This window comes from Homo sapiens, chromosome 10 (assembly GCF_000001405.40).
Source record: "Homo sapiens chromosome 10, GRCh38.p14 Primary Assembly".
Taxonomy (NCBI): domain Eukaryota; kingdom Metazoa; phylum Chordata; class Mammalia; order Primates; family Hominidae; genus Homo; species Homo sapiens.
In genome coordinates, this window is record NC_000010.11 from 76,088,453 (window position 1) to 76,115,007 (window position 26,555).

Consider the following 26,555-nt stretch of genomic DNA (forward strand, 5'->3'; position numbering starts at 1 on the left):
GACTTTGAGGGTGGGAATTTAATTGGTTGCCAATAAACAGGAAGGCCCCAAGGGAAAGAAATGAGAATTAGAAACTGACTCACAATATCTGGATGGGAAGCCAGGCAGGAGGGAAACTCAGGCTCTCGAAAGGGAAATCTGTTGGGCACCCAGCTTACTTCTTAATTACCTTTTTTGTTAATGGCCAGCCCATTCCTTATGGGTTTGTTGTTGGTGGGTTTACTTAAACCTTTTTGAAATATATTGGTTATTTTAGCTTGTACTGATTCTGGAGGCAATGAATCCACAAAGTTAATAAAATAATTCTTCCATCATCTTAAAATTATTTCTTCATTCAAGCTTCAAGATTTCCTTCTTCTTCCCATATTCTAGAATGAACAATTGTTTTTTCTTTATTTATCTTCTTTGTGATTCTATTGATTCTGTTGGGATCCCTTCTCAGTCTTTGACTTTCTTTCTAGACAAAGCCCTCCTAATTGTTCTCATTAGTTTGAGTATGACAATTCTGTCCGTGTGATTAATTCAACACACACCTAACATTTATTAAGTTCCTACTCTATGGAAGTCGTTGAGCGAGACACTGAGGCTAGAGGTGAAAAAGACACTTTTCTTGCCATTCTTTATACAGGATTGTAGCAGAACCAAATTAGTTGTAATGAATAGAGTGCTATGATACATGATGCAAACACTGGCCATTGTTCATGAGGTCACTTTCATCTACCTCCTGTGACAGATGAAATCACTGAGACTCTGAGAATTTCAGTGAATCACTCAAGTTCCTACAGCTGGTAAATGGCAGAGCTGGGGTCTGAATCCAGGGCTGTCTGACTCCAAAGCCTGCATCCTTTCCACTGTGCAACACTTCCCTTTGTTTGATTGTCGATGGAAATACAGAGAAACATGTGACTTAAGAATGAGTTGGGGAACTTAATTGCACTGGTGAAAAATGAAGACATTTTATAATAAAACACATAGGAAGATGAAGTAGAAAGTTTACCAGTGTCCTGGGATCCTCCGCAACCACTTTGAGGAGAATCTGAGCTCTTGGTATGCAGGCTTGGAATCATGGCTCTGTCTGGCGTTGGACATAAAATGGTAGACTTGATGCAGACTCCAGCTCAGTCATCCTTGTCTGTTATGCTTGGAGGCGACAGCTCTGCATGAACCCATTAACTCAGAGAGATTTCGGCAGAGCCTTTCCCTTCCCTGACCACTGGGCACGAGTGCACCACTCTGCTCTGAGCTGATCAGCTTTCCATATGCACGGAACAACCACAGCCTCCCTCCCCATCTTTCATCACCTAAATAAGGGCAGTTAATGTTTAAGAGTAGAGAATAGGGAACATAATGATGGATAAATTATAAGTTTGGGGATATGAAAAGTCAAACTGTGTAAATATGTATTTTAAACCACAAACAGAATGTTAATGCATCTTTCCCATTAACTCACTAACTGAAATTACAGAGTGTAACGTGAGCCAACGCCCACGGGTTGGTTATGATGTTTTCAGATTTAGAACAGCAAATGATAAATGCCCTTCTCTCAGACAAAGAAGCGATTGACACAGCTTTTCAATGTAGTCACTGGCAATGTCAGCAGTGGAAAATAAACTGAGCACCAGGAGGAGAGACGTCCTGAGATACCTGCGGAAAGTGGAGTGTGGGCTACTGTTAAGCACCTCCTGTATATGGGGGAATGTCTCAGGGGTCGGTGCAGCCCCTCCGAGCAGTGAGGACCCAGGCGCCATTGCCTGGACTGCCTTTCTGGATTAGAGGGAAGGCTTGTTTTCTCAAGCATCAGCTCTATCTTGCTCTGGGTTGGTGGGCAGCTGCCGTGAAGCCAGTTTCACTGTGGCTAGGTTTGGGTTGGGGATGTGTGGTTTTTGCATCAGCCATTTCATTGTTTGGTTGCTTATGGGCAGCAGTGTAAAAGAGAGGTTAAGAGGATGTGGAGAAATTAGAACCCTCGTGTGCTGTTGGTGGGAATGCAAAATGCTATGGAATAGTATGGTGGTTCCTCAAAAAAATTAAAAGTAGAATTACTGTACTATATGATCCGGCAATTCTGCTTCTGAGTGTATACCCCAAAGAGTTGAAAGCAGAGTCTCTAAGAGATATTTGAACACCCATGTTCGTAGCAGCATTATTCACAATAGCCAAAAGGTGGAAACAAAGGAACTATTGACAGATGAATGGAGAAACAACATGTGGTCAGTATATTCAGTGGAATATTATTCAGCCCTAAAAATGAAGGCACTTCTGACACATGCTACAACATGGATGAAACTTGAAGCCATTGTGCTAAGTGAAATAAAACACTCACAAAAAGACAAATATGATTCTACTTATATTCAGAGAGACAGTAGAAGAGGGGTCGTGAGGGGCTGGGAAGAGAAGGAAATGGGGAGTTATTGTTTCACATGTACAGAGTTTTGGTTTTGGAAGAGGAAGAGTTCTGGAGACTGTACCACAATGTGAATGTATTTACCACTACTGAGCTATATATTTAGAAATGGTTAAGATGGTAAATTTTGTGTTATGTGTATTTTACCACATATAATATTACTGCATCTTTGTAAGAGAAGGAGAAGGAATCCAGCTTTAGGGACTTGGGTAGATTCACTGCTGCTGTTTACTTGCTGTATGACTTTGAACAAATTAGTAAACACTGTAAGCCTGCTCTTCTCAACTGTGAAATAATATCTGCTGTAAGGGTTGTAAAATAGCGAGTACTCAATAAATGTCAGCATCCCTCACTTTGGTGTTTCAGAAATCCTCTCTTATGCCCACCCCAAACTGTTCTCCTGAAATAAACATGGTGGACGTGTGTGTGTGTGTGTGTGTGTGTGTGTGTGTGTGTGTGTGTCTGTGTGTAAAATCTTTGTATACATGGTAAGTTATGCATGGACTTCTTTCTGGGCTGAAGTTTGGCTCTATTAACGTTTCTTCACAAAGATGGATTCCTTCCCTTTGATACCATCTCTGCACTTTGTCCAGTTCCCCTGCATGTCTTTAATTGAAGGATCAGAAAGTAAATGGGGTATCCTGGAGAGACTGCAGCCTGGGCATTGTATACCTCACTTCTTGTTAGCCTGGTGGTCCTCATGGCCCTTGGGCAGCTCACTCATAGTCACTTGGGGGTGCTCAGTCTTTCTCATCCCACCCCAGGATCTGCCTCCCTGGTGCTTCCTCCCTGCCATGCATCCCCCTCCCACCAACTCCCTTCATCCCCAAACTCCCACCCCTTCTTTTAGAGGTAGAGTCTCTCTTTGTTGCCCAGGCTAGAGTACAGTGGTGATCATGGTTCATTGTAACCTCAAACTCCTGGGCTCAGTTGATCCTCCTGCCTCAGCCTCCTGAGTAGCTGGGACTACAGGTGTGTGCCACCACATCTGGGTGATTTAAAAAAAAAATTTTTTTGTATAGATGGGGTCTATGTTGCCCAAGTTGGTCTTGAACTCCTGGCCTCAAGGATCCTGGTGCCTTGGCCTTTCAAAGTGTTGGGATTACAGATGTGAGCCACCAGTATCCCCCTTTCACTGGCTTTTGACACTTTCTTGGCCTCTTTTGGCCCTGAGCCAAGTAACCCTAGGGCATATTTCAGGAGGAGGTTGTTGGCATTTCTGAAGCCTGTGGGACAATTTGGCTGTATGCAAATGGTTGAGGGTCATTTTCCCCTGAAGGTTAAATGGTGACCCTGGTCAATGTTTAGCTAGTGTGCACTTAAATGATTTCCCCTAGTTAATGAATCATAGGACAAATTAGCTGAGGACTTTCGCACCCTGCAGGTAAGCTGGGGTGGTAAGAACTGGTAATACTGAAATTGTGTTGAGTTATGTAGGCTATGCAGTGCAGGATCTGCTTAGCACAGCTTTCCGGTGCTTAGATCCTAATTACAAATGTAAATTGAGGGCTGCAACTGTTGGAGAGCCACCAAATGATGACCTGGATATACTTATTTCTGAGCCTGCTCAAACATCCCTCCTCTTCACCTTAGGAAGCCCTATATCCAATCTCTCTTCCTCTATCCCTGTCATTCCCAAATTGTGTGCTGAGACTCCCCAGAGTGCTGCAGCAGACTCACAGGGATGATACGGGATATTTTAAATGTTTGAAGGCAATACAACCACATGCAACATCTGACAGACGCTATGTGAATTACCATCTCAGGTGTTTCACAGTTTCATCATTAGATCATGCTACAATTCTTTGGATAATACTGTATCTTTGCAAAGTTGCATAATTTTTTTCGGTAGTTGCTGTGATTAAAAGCAAGTGTGTATGGAATAGGAAATGTGGATGGCAGTGCCTAATATGTACAATTCCAATATTAAGGAAGTTGTGCAGGGCCCAATAGGTACACACATCCCTTTAGTAAACAAGTGTGAATCTTGAAGAATGAAATAAAAATGTTTCCTTTCAATTTATGCATTTTTTTATCAAATGGCTATTGAGTTATTAGGACATAAATACTTATTAAGTTGTTCCATAAAATGGAACTCAGGTATTTCTTTTGGTCCGTGGGCTCTCCCTGGAAAACATTACTGAGACCGTTAGGGCACCATGAACTAAGTTGGAGAGTTATTGTTATTATTATTTTTTGAGATGGAGTTTTGCTCTTGTTGCCCAGGCTGGAGTGCAGTGACATGATCTCGGTTCACTGCAACCTCTGCCTCCCAGGTTCAAGCGATTCTCCTGCCTCAGCCTCCCGAGTAGCTGGGATTACAGGCGCCCGCCACCATGACCAGCTAATTTTTGTATTTTTAGTAGAGACGGGGTTTCACCATGTTGGCCGGGCTGGTCTTGAACTCCTGAGCTCAAGTGATTCTCCCAAAGTGTTGGGATTACAGGTGCAAGCCACCATGCCCAGCCAAATTGGAGAGTTATTATAGACAAAAAAAAAAAAAAGAAAGGATCTTCCCCTCCTTACCTTCATCAGTCCTCCCACTGTGAACTCTCCCTTCTGAACAAACTCACTGTGTCCCTTATATCTCTCTTTCTTCACCATTAGCTCCTTCTCCCACCTGAAAGATGAAGTTTCATTGATCCTTTAAAAATAAAAGAAAGAAAATCAAGCCTTGTCGAATGTTGTTACCACCTCCTCTTCCATTCTCCTTTCCTTCTCCTCCTCCTTCTCCTCCATCTTTCCCTTTCCTTCATTGCCCGACTTAAGAACAGTCTTGTCCCGATTCCTTTACTGCTCATATCATATCCACATTGCTAAAACCTTGTCTGGCTTTGTCCCCTGCTGCTGCCTTTATGTGGCCCTCACCAGGGTCACTGACAAGTTCCAAATAACCAACCCAACGCCACTCATATATCTGCATCATAGTCACAATAAGCTGAGGTCTCACGTTCCCCCACCTGATATTTTGGCTTCTGCTGGTTCCTGTGTCTAGAACATCTGCAGCTGTGTTACCTTCTCATTAATAACAGTGGTGTTGATAGCTCATCTTGAGTTTCCTTCTCCCATAGAGCCTCTGGGGACCTCAATACCCCCTTACCACGCTATCCGCCAAAATGCTCAGAGGTATTTGAAGCCACAGGCTGTACCACACAGTTTTGTGTCCTCTGTAGTACTTTCACACACAGTAGGAAGGTAGTAAATATGGGTTTGAAAGGAGCAGCACTGTTCAGAATAGGTGGTCCAGACTTTGGTCTCCCAGGAACCCCTGCTAACATATGCTGAAAGAACCTATAGGTATGATGAGGTTGGCTTCTGAGATGGAACGATAGACTCCAAATCTTTCTCTCAACTTACCAAATAGAGACCTTTCTTTCTCATTATATAAGTAATGCATGTGTACTGTAGATAAGTTAGAAAATGAATACCAAGGAAAGGAATAAAGCTTATATTTAGAAATAACAACTACTTATACTTGTATTTTTATATATTAACTGTTAGAATTTTATTTCCGTATATGTGAAAGATATATATTTATGAAGTATAAATAGGATTATATTTTACTTGTTTCTTTATGATCTCCTTTTGTTGCTTAGGAACACTACATATGGTGAAATAGAATAGATGAATTTAATAAAAGTTACATAGTATTTTATATTACACTATTGCTCATTATTATTTTTAATTTTGAAAATATATATTACATCATTATTCCAGGAAATTATCTATATCAGTACTACTCAAAGGTGTCCATGGACTGGTGCCAGTATGAAAATTAATACAGGTCCATGATATAAGTACAGGAATTACGAGTAAGGCTTCAGAAACTTTTAAAGGAAAGTAACATTCCCATATCTGGTAACTCATTTTAGAAACTATTTTTAATACAAAATATTACATATTAAATGCTTATTAACAGAAGTAACTACTATTAAAATCATTCCATATTTTACACATATTTCACCACCTAACCACCCCCCAGTGCCCGCCCAGATTTTTTCATATAACTGGGAAGCCACAGTCCATATTATTCTTCCACTGGCTTTTTTCACTTAGTAGGTTTCTTTCCAAGAAGGTACCAAAGAGAAAAATTGAGATAGAATCTATTGAAGGTTCTTGAGGAATAATTTACTTATAGTAAAATTTACCCTTAGTGTAGAGTTCCATGAAATTAACCCAAGTGTAGAGTCTGGACAAAGATGTCTGATAATTATCATAACAATCAAGATAATGAACAGTTACCTTTCTGGAAAATTACCTCCTGTACCTTAGTAGTCAACCATCCCCAACCATCCCTACCATCCCCACTTCCTGGCAATGCTGATTCTATTTCTGATCCTAAAATGTTGCCTTTTTGAGAAATAAATGGAATCATACCATAGTTTGGACTCTGGCTTCTTTTACTTATCATAACGCATGTAAGATCTATCTATATTGTTGCAATGTATCAGTAGTTCATTCTTTTTTATTGCCGAGCAGTTTTTCACATATGGATGTACTACTATTTGTTTATCCATTCATAAGCTGAGGGGCAGTTAGTCCAGATTTTGGTGATTATGAATAAAGCTGCTATTAACATTTGCATAGAATTTTTGTGTGAACATGAAATTTGTGTGTGGACGTGTTTTCATTTCTTTTGGGTAATTACTTGGAAGTTGGATTGCTAAGTCTCGTGATACATGTATGTTTAACTGTGTAAGAAATTGCCAGACTGTTTTTCAAAGTGGCTGGCTGTATCATTTTGCATTGCTTCCAGCAATGTATGAATGTTCCAGTTCTACTCACTTGCTATATATAACTTGATATTGTCAATATCTTTTTGTTTTAGTTTTAGTTTCAATTTTTGCCTTTCCAATAGATGTGTAATGATATCTATGCCATTGTGGTCATAATTTGCATTTTCTTAATGACTAATGATGTTGGGTACCTTTTCATATGCTTACTTGGGATTCACACATCATCTTTGGTTAAAGTCGGTTCAAATCTTTTGTCCATTTAAAAAAGTGGGTTGTCGGGAGGCGGAGCTTGCAGTGAGCCGAGATCGTGCCACTGCACTCCAGCCTGGGAGACAGCGAGACTCCGTCTCAGAAAAAAAAAAAAAAAGTGGGTTGTTTGATTTTTTATATTGAGTTTTGAGATTTCTTTATATCATTTAGATATAAGTCATTTTGAGATATGTATTTTGAAAATACTTTATCCCGGTCTGTATCTTCCTTTTTCATTTTATTAACAGTGTCTTTTGAAGAGCAAAAGTTTTAAAGTTTGATAAAGTCCACTTTATCAACATTTTTCTTTTATAAGTCATAGTTTTGGTAGCGTATCTAACAAGTCTTGGCTAATAAAAGATTATAAAGATTTTCTCTTGTTTTATTTTCAAAATTTTATAGCTCTAGTTTTTACATTTAAGTGTATGATCCACTTTGAGTTATTACTTGTATATGGTGCCAGGCATAGGTCATGGGTTGTTTTTGTTTTTTTGTATACAGATATTGAACTGCTTCAGCTTCATTTGTTGAAAAGGCCTGCCTTTCTCCTGCTTGCCTTTCATCTTTGTCAAAAATTAATTGGCCATGTACATTGGTCTCTATCTTTAGACTCTATTCTATCTCACTGATTTATGTGTCTATCCTTTCATCAGTATTACATTGTCTTAATCACTGTATAGTGTATTTTGAAATCAAGTAGTAGAAGTCCTCTGATTTTGTACTTTTTTGACAAATTATTTTGGGTATTCTAGTTCTTTTGCATTTCCCTGTAAATTTTAATATCAGCTTGTTAATTTCTATAAAAAATTTTGCTGGGACTTTCAGATTCTGTTGACTATGTAGTGCATTTTTGAGAGAATTGACATCTTAACAATATTGAGTCTGTGAAGATGGTATCTCTCTCTATTAATTTAGATCTTTTTATAACTTTTAATCTGTTTTATAATTTTCAGCATATAAATCTTGCTCATACTTTGTTAGATTTGTACATAAATATTGTATGTGCTTTGTGCTATTATAAATGGTATGAGCTTCGAAATTTTAATTTCCAATTGTTCATTGCTAGTTTCACTTTGCTAAGCTTACTTATTATTTCTGAGTGATTTTGTAAATTGAGATTTTTTTTTTCAAATTGACAATCATGTTACTTTTATTTTTATTTTATTTTATTTTATTTTATTTTATTTGAGACAGAGTCTTGCTCTGTCGGCCAGGCTGGAGTGCAGTGGCATGCTCTTGGCTCACTGCAACCTCCGCCTCCCAGGCTCAAACAATTCTCCTGCTTCAGCCTCCTGAGTAGCTGAGATTACAGGCATGTGCCACCATGCCTGGCTTATTTTTGTATTTTTGGTAGAGATGGGGTTTCACCATGTTGGCCAGGCTGGTCTTGAACTCCTGACCTCAGGTAATCTGCCTGCCTCAGCCTCCCAAAGTGCTGGGATTACAGGCGTGAGCCACCGTGCCCGGCTTCATGTTGCTTTTAAATAGAGACAGTTTTATTTCCTCAGTTTCAATTCTTAGATTCTTTAATTATTTTTATTGCCTTATTCTACCACTTAGAACAACAGTACTTAGAATCACAGTAACTTAGTACCACAATTCCACAGTACTATGTAAAACAGGCATAATGCATGCAGATATCTTTGCCTTAATCCCAGTCTTGAAAGGAAGACAGCCAGGCTATCACAACTAAGTATGAAGTTAGCTATAGATTTTTTGCAAACGTCCTCTATCAGATTGAAGATGTTTTCTTCTATCTCTAGTTTGCTGAAAGTTTTTATCATTAATAATGTTGAATTTTGTCAAATGTTTTTCTGCATTCATTGAGGTGAGTATATAGTTTATTTTCTTTAGTCTGTGTATATGGTGAATTTCATTGATTGATTTTTGAATATTGAACCAGCCTTGCATTCCCAGGATAAACCCTACTTGGTAATGACATATTTTTAATATTAATATATTGCTAGATTTGATTTATTAATATTTTGTTGTAGATTTTAATTTTAAACTGATACTAATTGTACTTATTCATGTGATACTTTGTGATATTTCAATAAATATAATGTATAGTGATCAGATGAGGATAATTAGCATATCTATTATCTCACATATTTATCATTTCTTTGCATTGGGGAAATTCAATATCCTCTCTAGCTATTTAAAACTATGTATTATTGTTAACTATAGTCATCCCACAGTGGTCTAAAACACTAAAACTTATTTCCCCTTTCTAGCCATATTTTCTTCATCTATGTTTGTAATTAATATTGGTCTATAGTTTTCTTGTGATATTTTATCTGATTTTGGTGTCAGTGTGTAATACGTTATACAATGAATTTAAAAGTGTTCCCTCCTATTTTCTAGAAGCATTTGTGTAGAATTTGTATTATTCTCTACTTATATGTTTGGTAGAATTCACTAGCAAATATATCTAATGAATATAGATACATTCATTAGACATGTAGTTTTTTATCACTTTTGTTGTCAAAGTTGTCAGAAGATTTTTAACTACAAATACAATTTCTTTAATTGGCAGAGGGCTATTCAGATTATCTATTTCCTTTTAGGATGAGATTTGGTAATTGGTGTCTTCAAAGGGATTTGACAATGCCATTTAAATACAATTTAGGGTCCTAAAGTTTGTAATATTCTTTCATTATCATTTTAATATCTTAAATATCTGTATTAGCGTCCCATCTTTCATTGCTGATATTGACAACTTGTACTTTCTTCTTTTTTTTCATATTAAATCTGACTAGAAGTCTATCAGTTGTATTGACTTTTTTTTAAAGAACTAGATTTTGGTACTACTAATGTAACCGCCCAGCAGGTTCACCTTACCTGTTGCCTAGACAGAGCCAATTTATCAAGATGGGCAATTGCAATACAGAAAGAGTTATTCACCCAGAGCCAGCTGTGTGGGAGACTGGAGTTTTATTATTACTCCAATCAGTCTCTCCAAGCATTTAGGAATCAGAGTGTTTAAGGACAATTTGGTGGGTAGAACCCAGTGAGTCAGGAGTGCTGATTGGTCAGGTTGGAGATGAAATAATAGGGAGGTGAAGCTGTCCTCTTGCATTGAGTCAGTTCCTGGGTGAGGGCTACCAGATGAGCCAGTTTATCAATCTGGATGGTGCTAGCTGATTCATCAAGTGCAGGGTCTGCAAAATATCTCAAGCATTGATCTTAGGTTTTACGATAGTGATGTTATCCTGAGGAGCAATTTTGGGAGGGTCAGAATCTTGTGCCTTCCAGCTACATGACTCCTAAACCATAATTTCTAATCTTGTAGCTAATATGTTAGTCCTACCTACAAAGGCCATCTAGTCCCCAGGCAAGAAGGAGGTTTGTTTCAAGAAAGGTCTGTTATTGTCTTTGTTTTGAAGTTAAACTATTAATATAAACTAAGTTCCTCCCAAAGTTAATTTGACCTATGCCCAGGAATGAACAAGGACAGCCTGGAGGTTAGAAGCAAGAAGGAGTTGATTAGGTCAGATCTCTTTCACTATCTCAGCTATAATTTTGCAATGGCAGTTTCATTAATTTTTTTAATTTTCTTTTTTATTTTATTCATCTCTGCTTTGTCTGTCTTAATTTATTTGTTCTTTTGGCTTTGCATTTAATTTGCTTTTATTTTTCTACTTTCTTAAGGTAGAAACCTAGATTCTTGATATTCTTTACTAGTGTAAGCATTTTAGTGCTATAAATTTCCCTCTGAGCCCTGCTTTAGCTGCATCCCATGTATTTTGTTTTATTCAATTAAAATATATTTTCCACATTGCCTTATGACTTCCTTTTACCTGTGTTCTTTAGACTTTAATTTGTTAATTTCATATACTTGGCAATATTCCAGATATCTTTTTTGTATTCATTACTAGTTTAATTTTGTGTGGTTAAAAAGGAAATAAATAATAAATAAACCAATAGTAATAATAATAATTTTGTGTTGTTAGATAACACACTTTGTATTATTTAAATTCTGTTAAATTTATTGAGGTTTGTTTTATTGCCCAGAATACTGTCTGTTTTAGTGACTGTTTTGTTTGTATTTGAAAATAATATGTATTTTTACTGTTGTTTCATATGAGGCTTCATAATGTTAATTAGGTCAGGTTGGTTGATAGTGTTGTTCAGGTCTTCTATATCAGTGTCTACTTTATTGATTAGTGAGAGAGGAGTGATGAAGTCTCCAACTGTAATCATAGATTTTTCCCTTTTTTCTTTCAGTTTTATCATTTTTTGCTTTATGTATTTTGAAGATCTGTTGTTAAGTACATACACATTTAGGATTGTTATGTGTTCCTGATAAATGACCTCTTCATCATTATGTAATATTCTTCTTTATTTCTGGTAATGGTGTTGCAGAACTTTGCTCCTTAGTTCAGCTAAAACCAGGTTCTTGTCACATGATCAGGAAAAGTTAGGCACACAGACATATTGAAGGGTAAAGGGAATGTGGAATCTATTGGGCAAAAAGGAAAAAAGAAAAAAAACTCTCAGAAAGCAAGAGGGGTTCCTGCTAACAGGCCCCCATCTCACAGATTGATTTCAGGCCATACACAGGAACGGAAGAGGCCAGGCTCCTCCCCACCTCCACATGACACAAGCTTCCCGTGGCTTCAGCCCTTTCTCCCAGTGTGCAGGCAGGTCGGAGATTCCAGGGACCCTCTCCCTTATCTGCCTCCAACATCAATCAATGGCTTTTGCTTTATGGGTGGGTCTTGCTCATTGATGAGTCCTGCCTCAGCTGTAGGAGACCTCTGATAGTCCAGGTCTAGGATCACTTACTGTTCTTCTGCAGGGGTTGAAGTCTTTCATTCTTTAACATTTTCCTCAGATACAGTATGCCCCCAGCATGACAGTGTATGCTACCTCTTTCCCAGCAATTTAAAGCTTTTGTTCTTTTAAGGGACAAGTAATTTTGAAGAGCTCTCTGCCTTTCCATTAGTAGCATCTGCTCCCTCCTGTAGAATTGAGGGTAGCTTTCCCTGTACCCTAGTCCTGCCCCCACTCTTTCTCTGTGAGCACATAGAGAGGTCCTTGGAAAAGAGTGGCTGTGAACCCCTCTGTGTCTGCAGTTCCAGGGATTCTATTTTCTCATGCTAGTACATAGTTGGCCTTCAGCAATCTATTGAAAATTTTAGCTGAATTCTTCACATCCAGGCATCAGAGGCCCCATCTTCCTCCCACTGGTTCAGTTCCCTGCTGGGATCAAGAAAAGTAATAATTTTACAAATTATCCAGCTCTTTTTTTTTATTGCATGAGTGATATTCTCTCCAGCTTTTTATATTCAAAGAGGAAGCCAGAAGTCCTAATAATTCATTTTATTACAAAAGTATCTATTTATGAAGGATAGGAAATTTAATATAAACAAAAACTACTGATTGTTTAAGAAGTGCTAGTCTGTACCTTTATGAACTGATTTATATTTTCATTCTATGCCACATCTTGGTCTTATTAGGTCCTTGGGTTTGTTACCTGGTAGTAAGGCTGGCTTTTTGTTGTTAGTTCTAAATTTACATCTTTTGAACCAAAAGTTCTAGTATGGCAGAATTTGCTGACTATTCATGTATTCACCCTTATTATCCCCTTTTCCTTTTAAAAAATTTTATTGCCAGGCACAGTGGCTCATGCCTGTAATCCCAACACTTTGGGAGGCCAAGGCAGGCGGATCAGTTGAGGCCAGGAGTTTGAGAACAGCCTGACCAACATGGGGAAGCTCTGTCTCTATTAAAAACACAGAATTAGCCAGGCGTGGTGCCACACACATGTAATCCCAGCTACTTGGGAGGCTGAAGCAGGAGAATCACTTGAACCCGGGAGGCAGAGGTTGCAGTGAGCCTAGATCACACCGCTGTACTCCAGCCTGGGCAACGAGATTGAGACTCTGTCTCAAAAAAAAAATGTATTAAGATGAAATTCATATTGAACATTTAGAAGTGAACAATTCAGTGACATTTAGTACATTCGCAGGGTTGTGTGACTGCCCTTTCTATCTAGTTCTAAACATTTCCATTGTTCCAAAGTCAAGCTCGTAACCCACAAAGCAGTTTCTCCCATTTCCCACTCTTCCAGCCCTTGGGGAATAACAATCTGCATTTTGTCTCCATGGATTTATCTATTTCTTATAAATATTATAAATATGATTATGAAGTTTATATATTTCTTATAGAGTCTTACAATATGTGACTTTTTGTAAATGACTTCTTTCACTTAGCATAATGTTTTCAAGATTATCCACATCATAGCATGTATCAGTATTTCATTCCTTTTCATGACTGAATAATACTCCTTTGTATGGCTATATCACATTTTGTTTATCCATTCATCCTTTGATGGACGTTTGGGTGTTTCCATCTTTTCACTATTGTGAATAGTGCCACTATGAACATATTTTTATTGCATCTGTTTTTTTAACTTTTATTTTAGATGTGCAGGTTTTTTACATAGGTAAACCGCGTTGTTGTGGGGTTTGGTGTACAGATTGTTACCCAGGTAATAAGCACAATACCCTATGGGTATTTTTTCTGATCCTCTTCCTCTTCCCACCCTCTACCATTAAGTAGGCCCCATTGTTGTTCCCCTCTTAGTGTTTGCGAATTCTCATTGTTTAGCTCGCATTTATAAGTGAGAACCTGCAGTATTTGGCTTTCTGTTCGTGCATTAGTTTGCTTAGCATAATGGCCTCCAGCTCCATCCATGTTGCTGCAAAGGACATAATCTCATTTGTTTTAATGGCTGCATAGTATGCTATGGTATAAATGTACCATATTTGCTTTTTCCATTTAGGTCAGTTCCATGTCTTTTGTTTTTTTGTTTGTTTGTTTTGAGACAGGGTCTCACTCTGTCACCCAAGCTGTACTGCAGTGGCGCAATCATGGTTCACTGCAGCCTCAAACACCTGGGCTCAAGCTATTCTCCCACCTCAGCCTCCTGTGTAGCTGGGACTATAGGTGTGCACCACCATGCCTATCTATTTTTTAAAAATTTTTTGTAGAGATAGGGTCCTCTGTTGCCCAGGCTGGCCTTTAACTCTTGGGTTCAAGCAGTCCTCCCGCCTTGGCCTCCCAGATTGCTGGGATTAGATGTGAGCCACTGGCCTGAACATGTCCTGCTTGAGTACCTGTTTTCCATTCTTTAGGGTATATACCTGGGAGTGGAATTGCCGGGTCATGTGGTAATTCTACGTTTAATGTTTTAAGGAACCTACTATCTCCTTTGACTATAATTTTTGTCATATTGCTCTTTGAGTTTGTCTTCCCAGAGGGCCCTAACTTTTCATTATTGAAGTAAGACAGGCAAGGAAGTCATCTTTCTACTAGTTTCATGTAGGAACCTTTGTAGCTTCTCTAAAGAGGATGATTTTTTTGGGTCTCCTTTAAGACTTTCCTAGCAATTTCATAACCTTCTTGGATGGAAGATACAACATGGCAAAATGCAGTTGAGGATAAAGAGGTTGTTTTTAACAATAAGAGCCCTCTTGAAAAGTCATGAGTTTTGCATGACAAGAAGTGCTTCCAGTTGCCAGTGGGAGAGTTTCCTCATCATGCAGAGTGGATGACTCACTGCCCTTGACTGCTCTTCTGATCCCGGGGGCCTCTGTTCTCTCACAGTAGATGCAGCACACAGAGCTGCCAAGGCATTTCCAGCAGGGGGTTCTGTGCTCAGGTTTTGAACAAGGGCAGCATGATGGAGCCTGACTTACTCATACACTTCCTGAGGTTGATGAACACATTTTCACCCCTTTTAGTTGTGGTAGGTAATGTATTCATAAATTCAAGCCTTTTTCCCAGATTGTAATGGATAGTTTATATCTCTCTCATGATTATTTAATTATTCAAGCCAGGATGACTGTGTGTTTTCTATCAGAGTTTGGGCTGCCTCAGCAAGATGCAGACTGGTATCTGCCCTTAGGTTAAAAATTCCGGCCAGACATAGTGGCTCACGCCTGTAATCCCAGCACTTTGGGAGGCTGAGGCGGGTGGATCACGAGGTCAGGAGTTCAAGACCAGCCTGGCCAAGATGATGAAACCCTGCCTCTACTAAAAATACAAAAGTTAGCCAGGTGTGGTGGTGGGCGCCTGGAATCCCAGCTACTTGGGAGGCTGAGGCAGAGAATTGCTTGAACCTGGGAGGTGGAGGTTGCAGTGAATGGAGATCATGCCACTGCACTCCAGCCTGGGTGACAGAATGAGACTCTATCTAAAAAAAAAAAAAAAATTCCACACCATTCCCTTCTTCCAAGTATGGATGGAATTTCTTCCAGGATCTGCCAGCTTTTGTGTGTGTTTGTGTGTGTTGTGTTTGTTTGTGTGTGTTTGTTGAATGTCTGTCTACCACTAGAATGCAAGGCCCAAGCAGGGAAGGACCATGGCTCTTCTACCCTCTGCAGACTCTCCAGGGACGGCACTATGCTTGGGTGTGTGGCCTACTCCCTATTTGTCATCCCAGACCTATGTTTTACTCTTCTTTCCCTTGCTCTGTGTCCTGGGGTGATAATGCCTTCAACCACCAGGCTCCATTGCCCTCTGGCTTCTGGTTGGGTTTGGACAATGAGGGAGAGGTAGGGCTACTTCCCCTCCCATTGCCACCTGCAACTTTGTGGTTCTGGCTGTGTCCATCCAGGACTATAGCCTTTCATGCCAGGCTGCCCTCCCTGCAGCTCTGGGTCTCCCTGCAGCTCTAGGTCTCCCTGCAGCTCTGGGTCTCCCTGCAGCTCTGGGTCTCACCGTGTGTCTTGGCCACGGCTATCTGCTCTGGGTAGCTCTGGTGCTTCAGTGTCCCCGGGGTTCCTTTGATCTTGCCCACACCCCTGTAAAGAATTTGTTCTTTTAAAATCCCAGGTGAATATGCCTTCTCTTTCTTGCCAGGGTCATGACAATGGGCTGAATTTTTGAATAGATGAGTGGATGGATGAGAAGACGAAGGGCCGTGTTTGTGGCTCACCCCCCATATGGAACCCCCCTCTGGCTGCCATCTCACTGGGAGGCCTTGCCCTGTCTCATGTCCCTGCTGCCTTTCTCCTGCACTCCCCTTTCTCAATCTGTCCCAACCATACTGGCTCCATTGCTGTTTCTAGAATGTACAAAGCAAGCTCCTGCTCCAGGCCTTTGCTCTAGCCATTCTCTCTGCCTGCAAGTGTCTTCTCTCAGATATCCACTTGGCTAATTACCTTTTCTAGGTTTTGCTGAAATCTTACCTTTTCTATGAGCCTCACCCAAACCACTGTATTTAATAATGGAAACTGCCCTCCACCAATATCACCTTGGCAGCCAAGGGCCTCCTTCATCTTGGTCTGTGTTTCTTTTTTCCAGAACACTTACCACGTTTTAAGAAACTGCATTTGACTTATATATTTATTGACATAAATATTATGCTTAATATTTATCATCTGTCTCTACCTGCTAGAATTTAAACTCCAAAAGGCAGGATTTCGTTACCGTTTTTTTCCATGGGTATATTCCAGACTCCCAGAGCAATGCCATCTTCACAATAAGTGCCTGTGATAGGTTGAAGAGTGCCTTCCACCCCAGAAGATATGGTCCCCTGGAACCTGTGAATGTGGGCTTATTTGGGGGGTGGGGGGGAAGAGTCTTTACACATGTAATTAAGTTAAGAAGTCCAAAATGAAATCTTCCTATATTAGTGTAAGCCCTCGATTCTAGGAAAAGTTCTTTTAATAGAAGAGACAGGGAAACAGACACAGAGACACAGGGGAGAAGGCCAGGAGAAGACAGGCAGAGACTGGAGTTATGTAGCCCCAAGCCAAGACATGCCTGAAGCCACCAGCAACTGGAAGCGGCAAGGATGGATTCTCCCCTAGAGCCTTTGGAGGGAGTGTGGCCCTGCAGACTTCTTGATTTCAGAAACCTGGCCTCCGGAACTGGGAAGGAATAAATTTGTGCTGTTTTGTTTTGTTTTTTTGAGATAGTCTTGCTCTGTTGCCCAGGCTGGAGTGCAGCGGCATGATCTTGGCTCACTGCAACCTCTGCCTCCCCAGTTCAAGCAATTCTCCTGTCTCAGCCTCCTGAGTAGCTGGGACTACAGGCGCATGCCACCATGCCCGGCTAATTTTTGTATTTTTAGTAGAGACAGGGTTCTGCCATGTTGGCCAGGCTGGTCTCAAACTCCTGACCTCAGGTAATCCACCCACCTCAGCCTCCCAAAGTGCTGGGATTATAGGCATGAGCCACCAGGTCCAGCCAAGTTTGTGCTGTTTTAAGCCATCAAGTTTGTGGTCATTTGTTATAGCAGCCCCAGGAAACTATTAGTATAGTGCCCAATAAGCATGTGCCGAATGAGTCCACGCAAGCCTTGTTAACACTGATATGACCTCCATTTGAAATAATTCTTCTGCTTTTAATAGCTACCAATGCCTGTTAGTAAATGTGAGTACGTCTGACATTTAAGCAGTGTTCCAGTTTGGGGTATGGTATGGTCCATTTTTGCAGTAGAAACTTAAACTTCCTGAAAATTTTCACCCACTATGCTTAACAGCTTAAAGTCTAACCTAACCCCCAAATAATTGCTTTCACTGTAAACCTATCAATAGCGTATGGAGAATGAACTCACAAATTATTGGTTCTTCAGGCAGTGGATGGGAACCCCTGTTGGTCTTTAGCCATGAAATATCCCTGTATCATTTCCCCATTTTTATCCTGAGTCCCTCCTGCTGTATTTAAGCTAATTCTCAGTGATTGTGTCTTTGGAGGAGTCCGTCACAAGCATCTATGTGATCACCCTTTGTATACCTGACAGGGGTTATTTTTTCTCCCCCAGGCCCAGTCCTGGTGCGTGCTGGGCTTGTGATGCAGTGTGGTACTAACTATCTGCTCCTTGTAGGAGACGGAAGGTAAATCAAATTGAAAACACCCTTCCTGTGTAGTGCGTCTTCCAAATGTCCTCAGGTCTCTATTACATCTTCTGGAGGCTGCCAGATTCTCTGCGGGACAAGAGGAAGCTGGAGCAGCTTCTCTGTAGCGACAGAAGGTGCCATTAGCAGAAATACATCATCTCCCAGTGGTGCTAGCAATAGCAGAGTCCTGATCATGTCCATTCTTTTGCCAGACTGAGGAGAGAGTCCTCAGAGGCAGGGGCTGCTGGTAACAGCGCCTCCATCATTCTAAAATATTCCCCCTGGAGTCCCAGAGCAGCTATTTCTGCCCAGACGCAACGAGAGCTTCACAGAGCTTATTTCAGGCATTGATCTTTCACAAAAGCCTCCCTGCTTCCTAGATTCCAGGCCTTCTCTAGAAGGGGTGGGGGAGGTAGAGGCCTGCACATGGCTGATCAGTTGCTCTGGCTGGGGCTGGATCACTTCTTCCAGGTGTTGCTCATTAGATCTCTTTTCAAGGGAAATCTATTAGCCTGGAGCAGTGGTTCTAAAACTGCAGCTTGCAGGGCTTGGTAAAACAAATTTCTGGGCCTCACCCCTAAAGTTTGGGATTTAGTAAGTCTGGGGTAGGGCCTGAGAATTTGCATTTCTCACAAGTTCCCAGGTGATGCTGAGGCTGCTGACCTAGGGACCACATTTCAGAACCAGCGGCTTAGATGCAGAGAGACGATGTTCTTGTGTTCTCTCCTACTTAGTCTTGGCCTCAGTCCTCCTACTTAAGGCAGTCTGGGCCTTTTGAGGTTGGGCCAGGCCCTGTCTCACCCTGTTTCTGGAATGCAGTGAAAACAGCTCTTGATTCTGTGCAGCCCATCTGTGCTAGTTACCTCTGTCTCCCAGGAGAAGAGAGCAATGAACCTTCTTCCTCCATGGCTCTGTTTCCGCTGTCTCTGTTAACACTGTTTCCTCCCCCTTGGTCCTTTAGCCCTCACAGCTTCCCCCTTTTGCTGGTCTCTGGATGCCTCAACATACCTGTGTGGCTCCTCTGACCCTGTCCTTTAAATAGACCTTTCTTTTTATTTTATTTTACTTTTTTGTGAAACTTTAAGTTCTGGGATACATGTGCAGAATGTGCATGTTTGTTACATAGGTGTAAACGTGCCATGGTGGTTTGCTGCACCCATCAACCCATCATCTAAGTTTTCAACCAGCATTCAAGACCATTTGTGTTGAATTCTGGTTCCTGCTGGTACCATGTCCTGGGATATTTCTTCCCTTAGGGGCAAAGAGTTTTCTAGACAGACTGAGTCAGAATCACTTAGTCTTTATCTCAAGAGCAGCCTTGTCACCCACAGTAGAAGGCAGAATTACTGTGGAGTCTAACAGAAATTAGGGAAGTAAGAAATTTATACCAAATGGAAATATGGAAGATTTATCTCACTTATTTCAAGCTTGGGGAAATACTAGCCTTTAAATGTCTGATTACTAGAGCCTGGGAATAAAGAGGGACTGCTTAACCTAGGGAAGTGGTCTTTGGTAATTGGGTCTCTGATCCAATTGATCGGCGAACAAATCTGTCATCATAGAGTCACTGGGGCAGCTACCCTCGGCCCAACTCTGCTGTAGGTGCCTCCATGACCTGACTAGATGTAGTTGTGAATGGAGCTGGGATTGTGGAGGGACTTCATATGTACATTACGCATGTGTGGAAAGGTAAAATAACCATCAGTCTTCCAATTAGAAAGCCAGAAAGCTACCTGGGACATAATCAATGAGGGCAGGCAGATTCACATTCCATTTGGGTGTGCAAGGGTATGTGTGTATATACGTGCAAAGATAAACACCCCTACACACATCATTAAAGAAAAGAATGGAAGGAAAATCACCCAGATGTTAATCATGTTTTTCTCTGGTTATTGCAATTACAGATGATTTTTGTTTCCTATTTTTCTGTGTTTTCTGTTTTTATTCAATGAAATATTTTTATTCTTCCAAAAATATGTTAAGTGTGGCATAGGAAATAGAGCTCAGTGCCCTGCCCTCTGCTCAGCACCTATCCAAATCCTATTAACATACCACATAGTTCAGGTTCTGCCTCCTCCAAGAAGACTTTCCTGACCAGCCTCTTGCTGCTAAATTTTGGAAATACTTTTGCTGAGTGATTGTTCCTACATTGAGTATATTTGTCTTATTTCTTCAAGTGCACTGTGACTTATGCAAAGATACTTTTTCTGTTTTCCATTTCCCACAAGGCCAAATACAGCTGAACTCATTGTAGATACTTGTTCTACAATGGGCAGCGAATTTCTGAAAGGATAGAAAAGATGTGAAAATGTGAAAAACAGACCAAAATGCCATTTCTCCTCACTCACATGCCCCACAGTCATATCTCAACTTGGTTGTAGCTCTCCCTCGCTGAGAGGTCATGACCTCCAGCTTAATGTCAGTGCTGTAGGGCCTTAGAGCACATCTCCTGGATAACAGTGTGCCTGCGCATGGGCTGTGTATTTCTCCCCTCCTTCCAAAGTGGTGAGCACTTTGCATCAAGCGCAAGAAAGATGTTTGATGACCTTAATAGCATTAGTGACAAGGCCTCCATCCTTGTTGGGCACTTTTGGTCTGCTGGTAAAAGAAATGTTCACTCTATCCCCAAGAGAAATCTTCTTTTCCAGGAATATACAGCAAAATCAATCAAGTCTTCCCCCTATTGAAGGCTAGCTACTCCACCCATGTGATAGATGCCATCAATTTTTTCGTCCTCTGGGGAAACAGAGTCATTTTTTCCTTCTTTATCTTGCATAGTCAGTGCTCCCTTACAACACAGTAATTCCCATCAGGTTTTGAGAACTCTGTCTTCTCCCTTTAAGCAACCACCCTACCAGAAGCCCTCTTCAGTTCTTTCTCTTTTTGCTTTAGTGTCAAATTTTCAAAAGACCTGTCTATTCCTGTACTCCCCATTTTGTTACCTTCAACTTATTCAGCGATTCAGTGCAGTGTGTATCAGCGCAGAATTTGGCTCCACTATTCTACCATTAGCTTAATTCCCTCCATGTTGCTAAATCCAATGGACCTCTCAGTGCATATCTTATTTGGCTTTTTGCTAGTACTATAAACCTTTGTTCACCTCTTCTTTTTCGAAGCACAGTCTTTCCTTGGCTTTAGTGACCTATGTGGCTTTTGACCACCTCCCTGGCCACTCTTACATCACCATCTCTGTACAGGCTCATCTACATTTACCCAGCTGATCAATGTTGAAACACCTTGGGACTCAGCCCAAGGACCTCTCTTCGTCTCGGGCTGTACTTTCTTTCTTGGAGGCCTCATTCACATCCAGGTTTTCATGGGACAGCCACAGTTTGAAAGTACTCAGGGATGTGTCCTCTGACCACCAGAGAAATATTTGCCTCTGCCTTCTTGACATGTCTCAGACGCCTCAAAGGTCCCTCTTGTTCTTCCTGTGCATGGCCAGTCCTCCTTCAAGGACCTCTGAGATCTCAGCAAATGGCACTGTCACCCCTACAGGTATGCAAGTCAGAAGCTTGAGTTGGCCGATCTGTTCCACATTCTACCTGCCACACTGCCTCAGCATTTCTCAAAGCCATCCACTCTTGTTCTTTACTTCTGTCACCCAAATTCAAACCATATCATGTTCATGGCTTTCATTTTTAAAATTCTGGACTATTATAGTCCCCAAACTAGTCTTACTTCCATCAGCTTTTGACCCCTTGCAGTCTACTCTGCTTCCTTGAACAGATCTTTGCAAAATACAGACAAATCAGGTCATCCTCCTGCTTCAAACCTTGCACTGGCTTAGTCTTGCTTTTAGGGTGACAGGGTTTGGCTGTGGCCCCACCCAAATCTCAACTTGAATTGTATCTCTCAGAATTCCCACATGTTATGGGAGGGACCCACGGGGAGGTAATTGAATGATGGGGCCCCGTCTTTCCCATGCTCTTCTCGTGATAGTGAATAAGCCTCATGAGATCTGATGGTTTTATCAGGGGTTTCCACTTTTGCTTCCTCCTCATTTTCTCTTGCCGCTGCCATGTAAGAAGTGCCCTTTGCCTCCCACCATGATTCTGAGGCCTCCCCAGCCATGTGGAACTGTAAGTCGAATTAAATCTCTTTTTCTTCCCAGTCTCAGGTATGTCTTTATCAGCAGCATCAAAATGGACTAATACATAGGGTAAAGAGTGTATTCACTACCATAGCCTGCACCACCATGCTTCACCTCATCCCACTGCCTACAGCCCAGCTCCATCTTATACCATCAGCATCCCTGTCCCTACCCCCTACTCATCTACTTTTTAGTCCCTCTGAAGTGTCATTCTCCATCCACAACGGGCCTTTGTTCATTTTGTTTTTTTTTCTCTGCATGCCACATCTGAAATCCCTTCTCTCAGTAACCTAAATCAACTTTGTCCTTCTCATCCTCCAGTTCTTAGCTTGTTATCACTTCCCCTGGGCAGCCTTCCTCCAAGACCAGACCAGATCCTGCTATTTTATGGATCCTCAAAGCAGCCTGTACCTCTCCTTCCTAGCCCTTGTCACCTTTGTGATTTAACATGTCTTTATGTGTTATTTTGCTTCTCTGCTTCCTTAAATAAGCTCCTCAGGACAGGGACCGTATCTTTTTTGCTCATCATTGATATCCTTAGCACCCAGCATAATGCTTGGACGAAGTCCGTACTCAATACCCATCTACTGAATGGAAAAGACTTTGGCAGAAGAAAATGAAGTCAACCACTTGCTCCTCAGACCTGGGTCGAGCAAGCCACCACACCTAAATGTTCAAGTTAGAATCAAGAAAGTTCATTTGAAAGTCATGATTCAGGTTTCCAGCATAAATTATATGCAGTTGTGCAAACATGTCAAAGTTTAGTAAATTGAATTTGTTTAATGTAAACAACTTTTGACCAAAATAATAACACAGCTTTAGAAAAAGACATTAGGCACCCACTTTTGAAGAGTTTGTATAATTTAACACACAAGAAAACTTTACTGTAATTATATGCAGACGTATACAAAGGATAAATGTTATTTACTTGCTCCACCCTCCATAAAATAAACCTCCAACCATGCTTCAGCTTGCTGCATTAATCCTAATTTAGAAATCACCCCCGCCGAAATGGGGGTGGGGGGGGGCGCATGGTGGGCTCTCATCTTTTCTTCGCGTCAAAATTAGCCGTTTAAATTAGAACCACGTTGGGAGCGTAGGTGACGCCAACGTTGCGGCACCAGTCCGGGGAGCACTTAAAAGTAGCCACCTGAAGTTAATTAAAACCTTACCTGTCAAACCCAGTATGGCTACATTTGAAAATCTTTAATGTAATTAAGAGAAGCACATTATGGGAGGTCAAGTGACTTTCTTTTTGAATTCCACTTCTAATCTGTCGTCAAATGGATGGAAATTGCCGGCCGAGGGAGTTAATGAAAGCTGCATGAGCGAGCAAGGGAGCAGGAGGAGGGGCTGGCAGCCTGGAGGAGCTGGCGGGAGGGCGGACGGGGACCCCTGTCTCCTTCTAGCGGCGAGGAATGAGCCTGGGGGAGCCCCACCGGGCAACTTCCCTTCTGCCAGGAGGCTCTGGGTGGGGGGTTCATTCAGCCCCTCTCCCTGAGCACACTGGGGGCATGCAGGAGCAGGGTATGGGGCGTCTGCGCAGCTCCCTGCTTATCGCTAAGTGAGATCTGTGGCCAGGACGGCGGGGCCTGGACAGAGTGGAGCCGGCGCCGGCCCTCGTCACCCTTCACTCAGAGCCGCCTGATTAGCATCAGGGTTCCGCTCGCCTCTTGCACGGATCCCCCAAAGAGCCGGTGGGGAGGGGGGCGCTTCCACGCGGAGCCTCAGCTGTGCAGCGCCTGACCCCAAGCCCGTCAGGGGGAAGGTCTCCCAGGTCCGCAGCCTTCAGCACCCTGGATCTGGGGAAGCCCCAAGAGGCCCTGGTACTGCCCTGGATTTTCTTCTGGGCATGTGGGCTTCTGGGCCACTAAACCCATCTCCTACTGCACTAGGTAGGTCCGGCTCCCGGAGCCCCCAGTGCAATCTTAATGCCAGAACGCTGCCTTTTGGAGATTAAATCACTTAATGCTTTGCTGTGTGTTCTAGCCTGAGGGTGCTGTTGACAGAAGGCAGAGTTTTTCTCTCTGGTTGCTGCTTCTCTCTCTCTTTTTTCTTTTTGCATTGCGTTTGTCTGTATCAGCAGAGGTATCTGTGTTTGAAAAAGGATTAACTCCCTCAGAATGTTGCCACTTAAGTTTTGCCCCTGCCTTGGAAACTGACATGAGAATAAACAACATATTAAGTCTTCACAGAACACTGGTACCAAGAAGTTTCCAAACCAGAGGACTTAACCTCCTTAATCCAGGCCTTTTCCCTTTGACTTCCTCCTGTTAGTCCGAGCATGGGCAGAAGGCATCAGTGGGGAGAGGAGTGTAAATCTTCTAGTTTGGAAATCTCTTCCATACTCCATGGAAAACATTGGGTGTCTCCTGTGGGGCCAGTGTGGTGAGTTACTTGGAACAGAATGGGCAATCTAGTAGGCGTTGAAATATTCAGAAGCATCTCATAGTGTCTTAGAAGATCCAAGACCTAGCCCGATGGGTCTTCTCTGTTATTAGAATTGTGTGGAAGGGTGGCAGACGCAGTTGAGGGGATGGGATGCTGAGAGACAAGGCATTTATTAAAACGACCTCTAGAGACTTTTTTTTTTCCACTGGGCTTGAATTTCTTGGGCTTGGAGAGTTGTCACTACCCCATATGAAAAATGGAAGAGATGAGTGAGAGGAAAGAAGATGAGGGGGGAAAAAACCAACCTGAGAGTGGTTTAAAATCAGAACAGAGTGTTGGTGAGAGTCAGTTTCCAAGGGTCGCCTCTTCATGCTGTATTGCTTTTTCTTGACCAATGAAAAGCCCCCTTTTTCAGATTTCCCCCCATTTCTCATCCATAGCAGAAAGGGCAGTGCTTCTAGAAATTGAGATGTGTCTCCAGGTAAAAGCCACACAAGGCAGTGGGAAGGGATGTGGCTGTCCCCAGCCTCCATTTGATGCCGCGTTTCTCTCCCAGCCACAAGTTCACAGGTAAAAGTGAAAAGTTGCTCTGGACGTCCCTTCCAAAGAGAGCTGTCTGCTCGCCATGGCAACCTTTTCCTGGGGTCTCTGGCTGTCAAGAACGGGGTGCAAAGTTCACAGAGCTCAGCATTGTGCCCTCCTCTCTTCTTGTCCCTTTTTTCCTGAAGGGATCGAGGTTGGTTTGCAGCACAGTTTAAAGCGAAGATGCCAAATGAAAAGTTCCTCGTTTTAAGTTGGTGCTTATACAAAGCTGCTTTGTGGTTTTTTTCGGCCTGTCAGACTTGTCAGGCCTAGTAAGAAAAAGTATATTGTTTCCAGCACTTGGATTCCTTTCTCCCTGACATCTGCCACTCTGTAAAGATGATAAATTCCTGCCTCATTAGCCAAGGGTGTGGGATTACAGGCTGACAACACATTAATCACCAGCCTCTGTGGCAGGCTGACTAGCAATAGGCATTGTTAACAAAACTTTTCTAATATGTCACTCTTCTCTATGACAGCCTGTAATCAATCATTGTGATTGACGGCGCTGATAGATTACACTATTTATACTTTGTGTAATGAAAGATAGTGTTTCCACCTACTGTCATTTCTGGGCTAGTGGTAGAGGATCAGTAAATGGAAACAAACATAACAACAGGGCAAGCCCTCATTCACCCCAAAATATCCATAGAACTACCCCACCTTCCCAAGTCCTAGGCTTGGCTTCCACTTTTGGAAGTGAAAAAGGGCCCATCCTGGAACTCTGGCAATCATTCTGGGATGAGGGGTAGTGGTGGGGGCACCTGGAAGGACAGAGGTAATTTGGATTTTCACAGAGAGAGCTCTTTGCAAAGGATACGATCCCAGGTATTGATAGGTCGAGTTTACATAGGTAGGAGAGTCCCCAAGCAGCCCCTTTCCTTCCCCTCATCAGCTTACGTGTGTGCAGCTGAGCGTTGAGTGCCTCCTCCCCTGCCAGATGAGAGATGATTTAGATGTTGATAAAATATTTGTTCTTTCCTGGCTCTGAGGGCAAATATTATCTTTGTTTCCCATAATCGTAAGGCGCTGCAAAAGTCAACAGCACCCAGAGCAAGTACAAAACCAACACTCGGAGAGAAGCCCTTTCTGGAGGCCTTTGCCAGGGCTTGCTTGTCCCCCCTGAAGCTCAGAAAATTTCAAACAGGATACGAATGAATCAGCTGAGCTGAAATGTGTTCTGACTCTCACATCCTCGGTATTTTTGGAGGGTCCTTTCAGTCATTTTTATTTTGGTCTGGAAA

The 26,555-nt window shown here is 41.9% G+C and overlaps 1 protein-coding gene across 3 annotated transcripts in view, besides 2 other annotated features; it reads left to right on the forward strand.

Annotated features, from left to right (window-relative positions):
* The window catches only part of LRMDA (leucine rich melanocyte differentiation associated), a 1,128,545-nt gene that overhangs the window by 656,829 nt on the left and 445,161 nt on the right, over nt 1-26,555 (forward strand). The window lies entirely within an intron of this gene.
* Nucleotides 14,559-15,258: an enhancer, noted in NCBI's record as "OCT4-NANOG-H3K27ac hESC enhancer chr10:77862769-77863468 (GRCh37/hg19 assembly coordinates)". NCBI's record gives its function as "activates a minimal SCP1, AML or CMV promoter by ChIP-STARR-seq in primed H9 embryonic stem cells {active_cell/tissue: H9 hESC(primed)}" and the evidence as "EXISTENCE:reporter gene assay evidence [ECO:0000049][PMID:30033119]".
* Nucleotides 23,977-24,530: an enhancer, noted in NCBI's record as "H3K27ac-H3K4me1 hESC enhancer chr10:77872187-77872740 (GRCh37/hg19 assembly coordinates)". NCBI's record gives its function as "activates a minimal SCP1, AML or CMV promoter by ChIP-STARR-seq in naive H9 embryonic stem cells {active_cell/tissue: H9 hESC(naive)}" and the evidence as "EXISTENCE:reporter gene assay evidence [ECO:0000049][PMID:30033119]".